Source organism: Homo sapiens, chromosome 15, assembly GCF_000001405.40.
Source record: "Homo sapiens chromosome 15, GRCh38.p14 Primary Assembly".
Lineage (NCBI taxonomy): Eukaryota > Metazoa > Chordata > Mammalia > Primates > Hominidae > Homo > Homo sapiens.
Genome location: NC_000015.10, coordinates 99,468,348 through 99,478,835, shown reverse-complemented (window position 1 = coordinate 99,478,835; position 10,488 = coordinate 99,468,348). Strand labels below are relative to the sequence as shown.

The 10,488-nt window shown below is 48.7% G+C and overlaps 4 annotated features.

Moving 5' to 3' along the window:
- Positions 1,958-2,252: a silencer, noted in NCBI's record as "tiled region #6154; K562 Repressive non-DNase unmatched - State 21:Repr". NCBI's record gives its function as "represses a minimal TATA promoter and a strong SV40 promoter by Sharpr-MPRA in K562 cells {active_cell/tissue: K562}" and the evidence as "EXISTENCE:reporter gene assay evidence [ECO:0000049][PMID:27701403]".
- Positions 3,160-3,835: an enhancer, noted in NCBI's record as "H3K4me1 hESC enhancer chr15:100015206-100015881 (GRCh37/hg19 assembly coordinates)". NCBI's record gives its function as "activates a minimal SCP1, AML or CMV promoter by ChIP-STARR-seq in primed H9 embryonic stem cells {active_cell/tissue: H9 hESC(primed)}" and the evidence as "EXISTENCE:reporter gene assay evidence [ECO:0000049][PMID:30033119]".
- Positions 3,438-3,732: a silencer, noted in NCBI's record as "tiled region #3369; HepG2 Repressive DNase matched - State 9:DNaseU". NCBI's record gives its function as "represses a minimal TATA promoter and a strong SV40 promoter by Sharpr-MPRA in HepG2 cells {active_cell/tissue: HepG2}" and the evidence as "EXISTENCE:reporter gene assay evidence [ECO:0000049][PMID:27701403]".
- Positions 3,836-4,512: an enhancer, noted in NCBI's record as "H3K4me1 hESC enhancer chr15:100014529-100015205 (GRCh37/hg19 assembly coordinates)". NCBI's record gives its function as "activates a minimal SCP1, AML or CMV promoter by ChIP-STARR-seq in primed H9 embryonic stem cells {active_cell/tissue: H9 hESC(primed)}" and the evidence as "EXISTENCE:reporter gene assay evidence [ECO:0000049][PMID:30033119]".

Here is a 10,488-nt window from a genome sequence, read left to right as displayed (position 1 = left end):
GTTATCCCCCCAAGTTTTTATGTCTAAGAATGTGAAATTATTTGGACATAGGATCTTCATAGAGGTAATCAAGTTAAGATGAGGTCATTAAGGTGGGCCCTGATCCAATATGACTTATTGGATTATGAATTTCCCCCTTATAAAAGGGGGAAATTTGAGTAGAGAGACCCACATAGAAGGAAGATGATGTGCAGACACGGGGAGAAGATGGCTATCTACAAGCCAAGGAGGAAGGCCTGGAGCAGATCCCTCCCTGACAGCCTCAGAAGGAACCCACCCTGCTGACAGCTTGATCTCGGATTTCCAGCCTCCAGAACTGTAAGGTGATAACTTTCTGTTGTTCTAAGCCACCCGGTTTGTGGTACTTTCCTATGGCACCCCTAGAAAATGAATATAATTGTTACACAAGAAGTCTGACTACCCTGAGGCCCATGAGGAAGCCCAGGCCACATGGGGAGGACGCTTCTGTGTATTCTGGTGACAGCTCCAGCTGTGGTCCCAGCTGACAGCCAGCATCAACCACCAGACACGTGGGCAAAAATGTCTCCAGATTGTTCCAGCCCCCAGCTGTCAAGTCACATCCCCCAACCCTTGTTTTCAAGCGTCCCCAGATGAAGCCCTAGACACCATGAAGCAAGTAGACGCTGTTGCACCTTGTCCGAATTCCCGAAGCACAGCATCTGTGAATACAATAAATGGCGGCGTTATGCCACCAAGTTTGGGACTTTATGCAGCAACACTAACAGGAGTAGCCTCACACCTAATGAGGGCCCCAGCCAGGCTCTGAGCCAGGGCTCTGGCCGTGGACTGCAGGCCTTTGCTCTGCTCTCTCATGCAAGCTCAGCAGCATTGCTTTCTCAGAGGGTGCCCAGGTAGGAAGATCTTTGCTGAGTCTTCTCTCCAGGGAAGCAGGGCTGGCCCACGTGGGCTTAGACTCTGGTTCACCTGTGGTTAACCTCCTTTCAGGAAGCCATCTCCCCAGCTTCGTTCTCCAAGCTTGGAGAGCGGGCCAGGCTCCTGAAGGCAGCCATCAAGTGTGACCTCATCGAAGTATGGCTTGAACCTGTTCTCAGGGTCATTTGGCTGATGAGTTTGTGCAACATCAGGGCTGTCGGGAGGCAGAATATGAGCTGGATGTCTGACCACCTGGGTTTAAATTTTGGCTGTGCAACACTAGCTGTGTGGCCTTGGGAAGTTATAATAACCTCCCTGAGCCTGTTTCTTCAACTGCAAAATGGGGACATAATAGCACCCACCTCATAGGGGTTCTAGTGAAGCTCAGACAAGCCATTTTCTTGTGAATCATGGAGCAGGGGTCTGCCTAGCACAGGGTCAGTCCACAGCCCATGTTAGCTACTGTTGCTAGTCATCAATATCAACTGTTTACTTGTAGGGATTTGTTTGTTCTCTCCAATGCAGACTATTTTAGTGCCTGGAAGCATCCTTGCGAAGGAGAAAAGTAGCTTAAAATAAACCCAAGAATGTTGAGTTCTTTCAAAAGTTAATTTACAAAATAAAAAGGTTCCAGACAAATCTAAGGTAGCATTGTTATTACGGGTTTTATTGTTCCAAACAACCTTGAAAAACTAACTCTGGAGCTCCAAAGGGTAGCAATTAGGCCTCTGGTGAGAGCCCTCAAAGTATTTAAAGCCTTGCCAAGGCACTCATGGCTTCACTTCCTTCCCCATTTTGTGGTCGCCGTGTCTGCCTGCATCCCCCACCAGGGCCCAGGCGGGAGCGTGGGGAGGGCCGCGCGGTCTCCCCGCTGCTGCAGGAAACGCTGCCTGCTGTCTGAAGACTCCCAGAAAGAGAAGGCTGAGAGGGTGACTCAAAGTGAACCATCTCCTCCCCCAACCCACGTCCCCCACCCTGCACGCTGCACCGTGACAAGACCCCTCTTCTGAGCCCAAGACTGAATCACGGCTCAGGGCCCTGGGATGCTCACACACCCCTTTGCCCAGCGCTGGCCAAGAGATCCAACTGCACGGTGGCTTCATGGGTCTGAGCTAATTCCCTCCTGAGCTGCAGCTTACCCCACGGCAGCACTTCGTCAGAAACAGTCTCTGGGCTTGCTGCTGGCAGGCTGCTTGCTGGCTGTGAAGTCTTCATCCTGCTCTATGCGAGGCAAGGCTTGTCCAAATATTTGGCTTGATCCTGCTTTCTGATTCATCATGTGCAGGAACCTCCGTAATTTCATCTACTGCGTGACTCAGACAAGAGCTGAACACAAGTGCCGTGCACCGGAGCCCCGGAGCCTGCACAGAGGCCAGGCCTGCATCTTCCCGGGCAAGCCTCCTGGGCTTGGGGAGAGATGCTGGCACTCTCAGGATCAGCTAGCCTGAGATTAAATCTCTTTTGTCTGAGATGATTAACAGAGCCCCAAACACGCCTCGACACAGGGTGTGAGGTGCACTTTGTACCTTTTCCAAGATTTTTTTTTTCTTTTTTAGTGCTAAATCCATTTGCATCTCATAAATTATACTGGCTTCCAAAATGAAGTGTTCCTGACAGCCGCAGGCAGGGTGTGGGTTCCATTGAAACGCTTTTCCCTGTCGTCCCCTCTCTCACTCTGAGACCCTAGAAGATATCCTGCTGATCTTCTAAAGGAGGAGGGGAGGCAGTGAGTGACCTAGATTTCAAATCAGAAAGACAGGTAGAGCCAGCTCGCCTGTCTTCAAAAGGCTGCCCGTGCACTGGGTTCTGGGGTTTTGGAAGGAGCCAGAAGGAAGATGTTCCCCGGGCTCCTACCCAGATGCTCCTGCTTATAGGTAACGTGGTCATTTTCTCCTTCAGCAGGTTTTTCAGCTTAAGAAAGGCCACAGGTTGGGCCAGTGGGGCCCGCGAACCCCCTCGGTGCCCCTAGGTAATGCTATCTGGGGTGGGGAGGGAGGGGAAGTAGAGAGTGATTGACAGTAGAGGTGAGGCACTCCTTGTGGAGGTGGTGGGGCAAGGGAAGGGGACCTCCGGACAGGGGGTCTGAACCCTCCTTCCACCACTCTCCAGCTCTGTGGCTTTGGACAAGTGACTCGCCCTCTCTGAGCCTCTGTTTCTTCATGCACTCATTCATTTCCTGGGTATCGCGTCTGTGCCAGGGCTAGGCCACCCCATTGGCGCTTAGGTTCTAGACATTACACAGTCAACACAGCCCTGTGCCTCTAGAGCACGTCCAGTGGTGGGTGAAAACCAAGCAGAGGACAGAGTTTGGTTCAGGCCAGAACCACACGGCCGTCAGTGAGCTAGGCCAGGGCTGGGCAGACGAGGGGTCCAGCACAGAAGACTGAAGAGGTGCAGCCAGGGAGGCAGGAGGGACCCAGGGAGAGTGACAAGAAAGGGGAGAATGCACACCCCACACAGTGGGAGCTCAGGACATGTCGCTGCTGCTGTTATTATTTGATCGCTGTCAGTGGGCGTGGCAGTATGCTTGGGGCGAGGATGCTGAAGGGAAGGGAAAAGAAGAGCTGGAGGAGGGTGGCTTCGCAGCCAGGGTAAATAGCACAGCCAGATGGCTGCCATCATTTCCCGCCACTCCAGTCGCCCTCCTGCCTCCAAGTCACAGGCAGGCTTCACTTTGCGCCATGACCCGAAGGTCAGCAGGCTGGGGTTTCACAAGTGGGCGTTCCAGGTCCGGGGCCCGCACAGGGAGCACTCCGTCCATGGTCAGGCCTCCAAGTTCCCATCCAGGAGCAGCTGCCGGAGCTCTGGCCCATCCCAGGGGGCCCCAGCTGCTGTCAGCCTGGAGTGGGTCAGAGTGTGGGGGTGAGAGAGGCAGGCCCACCGGGGACAGGGGCAGCTGTCCTTGCCCTAAGGATCTGAGTCACACTCGGGCCAGGGAGCCACGGCCAGGGGCACTCCAGGCTCTGCGGGGGGGGCGTGCAGAAGGTGTGGTGTGTATAGTCACACATGCATATGTCAATGTAGTGTATGCGTATACTGTACGTATATGTGATTCTTTTATCGGTATATTCATAGGTTTATTGAATTTCCATATCCTAGATAGTGGCTATCGTTTATCACCTTTTTCTAAGCAGGGAGAAACAAGACTCAGAGAAGTCCAAAGAAACTAAGCCGAGAAGCAGACAGCAGAACAAAATTTCAAGCCCCACGTTCTGCGCCTTCGGGCAACGGCCATGAAACAAGAGGTCACAGCCGCGGAATGGCTTGAGCCCCAGCTCTCATCACAGATTTCGTTATGCTCCAATGGTAGAAACAAAGGGAAGGTTTTGTGTCTCCTGTTTTTAAGGTTGAGAGAGAGCCATAGAAGGGGACAGAGCTTAAACAAGGCCCCCTCCTGCCTTTCTCCTGCGTAGGCAATGCTGGCCCAGTGGCCCCATCCACTGGGTGTCCCTGTGCCCTGGGCTCCTGGAGGAACCCTGCTGACCAGAGGAGCTCCCCGAAAAGCCCACACTCAGCACTTTTCACCCCCTTCCCTTCCCCTTTCACTTCCTGACACTATTTGGGGCTGTGTCTGCCTCCTCCAAGGGCACAGCGTTCCTCACTCATCTGGGCGTCCCAGGGTGCCAGGCACGATGGCCTGCGATGGGGGCTCACTCTGGTCACTCACCTTTGTATCCACAGGGAAATGGGGAAGCTCTGCAAACCCGGGCCAGGGCACAGCTTGGACAATCTGTCACCAGTGTGCAGAGTCAGCTGAGAAACACAATCCTGCCCAGGCTTTCTGTGGCTGCGGCCAAGAGGGTAGGGCTGCTGGGCTGAAGGCTGTCAAGTGACTGGGCAAAAAAAGCCAGCCTCAGCCTGCATGGCCGCAGCAGTCCATCCTGCAACAGAATAATTCCTCTTAGTGGGAACAGGCCTCCCACGCTTATCACAAAGCGCGGGCTGCCTTTCCAATGCGGCTGGAGGAGATTTACAAAAAGAAAAGGAAGTCGCCCTTACATCTTGGGGAAGTTTAAAGACACCTGGAGAATGAAATCTTGGATTTTACTTTCCTGAAAGGCTGAGGCTAGGCATAATTCTCTGCCTTTGTTCCCCTCCTTTGTCTTGGTTAAATGTTCCTGGCCATACTGTACCTGTGGTTTTATTGTCGTCCTTTTTGGGAACAAGCAGGATATAAATCAGTCAGTGAAATTTTAGAATGTAGCTCTTTGGTCTAGCATCTAAGTAGATAAAGAAGAAACGGGCACTTAATAAGTGCCTCTGGAGGCTTGTGATTTGCATGGGGCTCCCAATGAAAGGTAAAGTCTTTGCTTAGAGGTTACACACACCGAATGCAGGGTGGTCCTCAGGCCTCTGGTCACAGCATGCACAGTGCTGGTGCCTCGATCTGCAAACCTGGTGCGCGCAGCCGCTGGGGACCATCTGCCCCAAGGCCACCCCAGGACTTATCAGAAAGGAGAAGAGTTGGCCGGGCGCGGTGGCCTGGTGATCACACCTGTAATCCCAGCACTTTGGGAGGCCGAGGCCGGTGGATCACGAGGTCAGGAGTTCAAGACCAGCCTGGCCAAGAGGGTGAAACCCCGTCGCTATGAAAAACACAAAAATTAGCTGGGTGTGGTGGTGGGTGCCTGTAATCCCAGCTGCTCAGAAGGCTGAGGCAGAGAATTTCTTGAACCTGGGAGGCGGAGGTTGCAGTGAGCTGAGATCACGCCACTGCACTCCAGCCTGGGTGACAGAGAGAGACTCTGTCTCAAAAAAAAAAAAAAAAGAAAAAGAAAGAAAGAAAAAAAAAGAAAAAGAAAGGGGAAGAGTCAAGTTTCCTGCTCCTTGCTGCAGCCGGCTTGATCAGTGCTCTAGAAAAGGGGGGTGGGTGTCTCCAAACAGCCCCTACCCCAACTTCTTGCCACTGTTGGCTTCCCCGGGTCTTTCTCAGTGCCAGGCAGGGGTCTGACAACAGCAGGGAGTCCAGGCCTTGGAAGGGTCCCCCCAGGCAAAAGCTGATTTGCCTGTCCCCATGCGGGGCACAGGGTGCTTGGAAGTGGTTGGGCCTTTGCAGGGGGGTGACCGCAAAAAGAAAGTGAGATGTGTTGCCGCCACAGCGGAGGGCTTGCCAGAGCCAGCATCAGAGTTGGTGGGTTCCCTGACGTATGGAAAAGATCCAGGGAAAAGTTGTAAAATACTGGGCAAAGGATTATATGGAATACTTTAAACACCTGAGCCAGGTTGTGGAGGGAAATAAGTGTTATGACAAGCCACACATCTGCAATCCCTGCCCTTTATCTGGGAGGGCAGGCGTGTTGAAAACCTTGAAGTGAAGTCAAGGTCAACATGCCGTCCTGAGTCATTAGCCATACACAGATTAGTAGGTTAATACAGAACAGTCTCCACAGATGAATTACACCCAGAAGCCCCGTCCTTGGTGTTGACACCGAAAGTTTCAGTTATCACAGGGAGAGCGATGTCTGCTTAATTTTGATAGGGCTTAATTATTATGATAAATGCCTTTGGAATTTAACCCTTTCATTCCACCTAGTGTTATGGCCTGTATGTCTGTGTTCCTCTGAAACTCATACGTTGAAACCTTAACCCCCAGTGGGATGGTATTAGGAGGTGGGCCTTTTGGGAGGTGATCAGGTTTAGGCAAGGTCTTGAGGGTGGTGCTCCCATGATGAGAGTAGTGTCCTTAGAAGAGAAAGACACTAGAAGTCTCTCTTCACCTGTGAGGATACAGTGAGAAGGCAGCTATCTATAAACCAGGAAGCTGGACCTCATCAGATCCTGGATCTGCTGGTGCCTCCAGAACTGGGAGAAATACATGTTTGTCATTTAAGCCACCCAGACTGCAGTATCTTGCTATAGCATCTCTAACTGACTGAGATACCTTATTAGAGCTCTCCAAAGAAACAGATCGAATAGGAGATAGAGAGATGGTAGATAGATAGATGATAGATAGATAGATAGATGATAGATAGATGATAGATAGATAGATGATAGATAGATAGATAGATGATAGATAGATAGATGATAGAGAGATAGCAGGTGGATAGACAGAAAAATAGCTACATAGCTAGCTAGCTAGACAGACAGACAGATAGATAGATAGATAGATAGATAGATAGATAGATAGATAGATAGATAGATTTATTATGGAAATTGACTCACAAGATTATGAAGGACAAGAAGTTCCACAATCTGCCATCTGCAAGCTGAAGACCCAGGAAAGCTGGTGGTGGAATTCAGTCCAAGTCCAAAGTCCTGGGAATGAGGGCATAGGGAGGACACTGGTTTAAGTCCTGATATCCAAAAGCCCAAGAACCGAGAGCCCCAATATCCAAGGACAGGAGAAGATAGATGTCCCAGGTTAAAGAGACAGAAAATTTACCCTTCCTTCACCTTTCTATTCTAAGCAGATCCTCAATAGATTAGATAATGCCCTTCTACATTGGGGAGGGTGGATCTTCTTCACTCTGTCAACTGATCCAAATGCTCCTCTCTCCCAGAAACACCCTCACAGATGCACCCAGAAATAATGCTCTACCAAGTATCTGGGCATCCCTTATCTCAGGCAAGTTGACACACAAAATTACCCATCATAGACACTTAATGTGAGAATGAAGATCTTAACTTCAACTGCATACAAGAGAGTTGGCCTTTTCTCTCCCCAGCTTCTCTGGGATCCTTGGGAAGGATCTTTGAGGAGTAAAATTCTACTGTTTCAAAAAGATACACATCCCTGTCGTTTGGGGTTGTTAGGACACTTTAGGTCAAAAGTTGCAGAAGCCCACTTCAAACGAGCTCATGGAATTTGCTGGGGGGAAATTAGGCGCTCTTTTGGAACCAAGATGGAATTGAACCATTGGACCACAAGAGAGGTGAGAACCAGGCCTAGAAGCTGCCAGAAATGCAGGAAGCTACTTCCTATCTGTCCCTTGCAAAAGCCACATGTGTTCCTCCCTCTGCTTCTCTCCACCAACCCATCTTCTGTGTTGCCCTATGCATGTCATGTGGTGGGTGGAAGGTGGTCATAACACAGCTTCTGAGTTTACATCTCCTCCCTGTATAGAATCGAGCACTGATTGGTCCAGTCTGGGTTAGGTGTCCAGGCTTAATCCAGACATCTGGGATTAGGGGGACAGGGTTGTAATACATAGACACAGACACCAGAAGCCCTCCTCTGTATGTAGGTGGGTGGAGGGGATCAGCACTAAGAGAATAGTCATTGTGAGCAGGGTGGCACTCCAAAAGGAGACTTGTCCTGCTCCTGAGATCAAAACGGTGCACAGTGAAGGAAACAATCAAAACAGTGAAGAGATAATCCATGGAATGGGAGAAAAATATTTTCAAATCATACATCTGATTAGGTTAACATCCAAAATATACGAGAAACTCAAACAACTAAATAGTGAGAAAACATATAGCCTGACATTAAAATGTGCAACAGATTTGAACAGATATTTCTCAAAAGAAGACAAACAAATGGCCAACAGGTATATGAAGAGGTTCTCAACATCACTAATCATCAGGAAAATGCAAATCAAAACCACAATGAGCTGTCACCTCACAACTGTTAGAGTGGCTATTATCAAAAAGATGAGAGGGCCAGATGCGGTTGCTCATGCCTATAATCTCAGCACTTTGGGAGGCCAAGGCAGGCAGATCACTTGAGGTCAGGAGTTCAAGACCAGCCTGGCCAACATGGTGAAACCCCATCTCTACTAAAAATACAAAAACTAGCCGGGAGTAGTAGTGGGCGCCTGTAGTCCCAACTACTTGGGAGGCTGAGGCAGGAGAATCACTTGAACTCAGGAGGCGGAGTTTGCAGTGAGCCGAGATCACCCCACTGCACTCCAGCCTGGGAGACAGAGTGAAACTTCGTCTCAAAAAAAAAAAAAAAAAAAAAAAGAGGAGAGATAATTACACATGTTGGCAAGAATTTGGGGAAAGGGGAACCCTTGCATATTGTTGGTGGGAATATAAATTAGTACAGCCATTATGGAAAATAGTATGGAGTTTTCTCAAAAAATTAAAACTGGAACTACCCTGTGACCCAGAAATTCCACTACTGGGTATATATCCAAAGGAAATGGAATCAGTATGTTGAAGTGAGATCTGCACTCCCATGTTCATTGCAGTGTTATTCACACTGGCCAAAATATGGAATCAACATAAGTGCCCATCAGTGCATGAATGGATAAAGAAAATATGGCATATATATGAAATACCCTATTCAGCCTTAAAAAAGGAAATCTTGTTGTTTATGACAACATGGATGAACCCAGAGGATATTATATTAAGTGAAATAAACCAGGCACAGAAAGACACATACCGCATGATCTTACTTATTACTTGTGGTATCTAAAAAGCTCAAACTCATAGGAGTAGGAATAGAATGGTCATAACCAAGGGTTGGGGGGCAGGGGGATTAGAAAGATATTGGTCAGAGGACCCAACATTTCAGTTAGATAGAAGGAATACATTCAAGATCGATTGTACATCATGATGAATGACTATAGTTAATAATAATGTATTGTATACTCGAAAATTGCTAAGAGAGTAGATTTTAAGTGTTGTCATCCCCCAAAAATGGTGTTTGTGAAGTAATGAATATGTTAAATAGTTTTATTTAGCTATTCCACAATGAATACATATATCAAAACGTGTTGTACACCATCAATATATACTTTTTTGTCAATTAAAAAAATGAATTAAAAAGTGGTGCTCTCAGAGTTTCCTGATGCCACAAATAGCCACATAGAATCCTAGGAGGTAGAAGACCTGGATCCCACCTCCACCCTCTCAGGCTCTCTCTTTTTCTCTTTATTATACCCTGGCTTAGTAAAGGCTCTGGTAGGAGTCATCTTCAGCCTTATCAATTTGCCAAGCAGCAGGATTTTGGGTGCTGAGATCACCTTCTTTCTTCTGGAACCCTCCTTCCAATGAGGGTCAGTGTGGTGTGCTGGAAAATGCAGAATTCAATATCAGACACACCTGGAGTTCTACACACCCTCTGCCACTTGCTAACATCGGATCTTTCTACATTCTGATTTTCTGGTCTATCAGATGGAGATGGTAAGTAACATCTAACCCTCAGGGCTGTGTGAGAACATGTGATCCTCAGTTCAGCGCTTGGGACATAGAAGATGCTCAACATACCCCAGCGCCCTTAGGTCTCCTTGCCAACACACAAAATCCCCCAAGGGCAATAACGTTGTTCTTCCTGCCTCTTCCTCGAGAGGGCAACTTTTAACCAATGTCCTAATGAATGGAAATTAGTGCCATCCACAAGTAGACTTAGGCACCACCTAAGTGCTCGGGTACTTGGGGGAACTGGGTGTCATAAACATTTAAGTAGGACCAGGCATTTATATTCAGGCAGGACATCTTGACCCAGTGCCTCAGAGAGCAGAACCCATAGAACATTTCCTTGAAATCATCATCAGAGACAGATTCTGGGAAGTTGGGCCATGGGAACTCTTTTTGCTTTTGCTTTTTTTCTAGAGGTGGGGTCTTGCTCTGTTGCCCAGGCTAGAGTGCAGTGGCATGATTATAGCTCACTATAACCTCAGACTCCTGGGTTCAAGCTATCCTCCCATC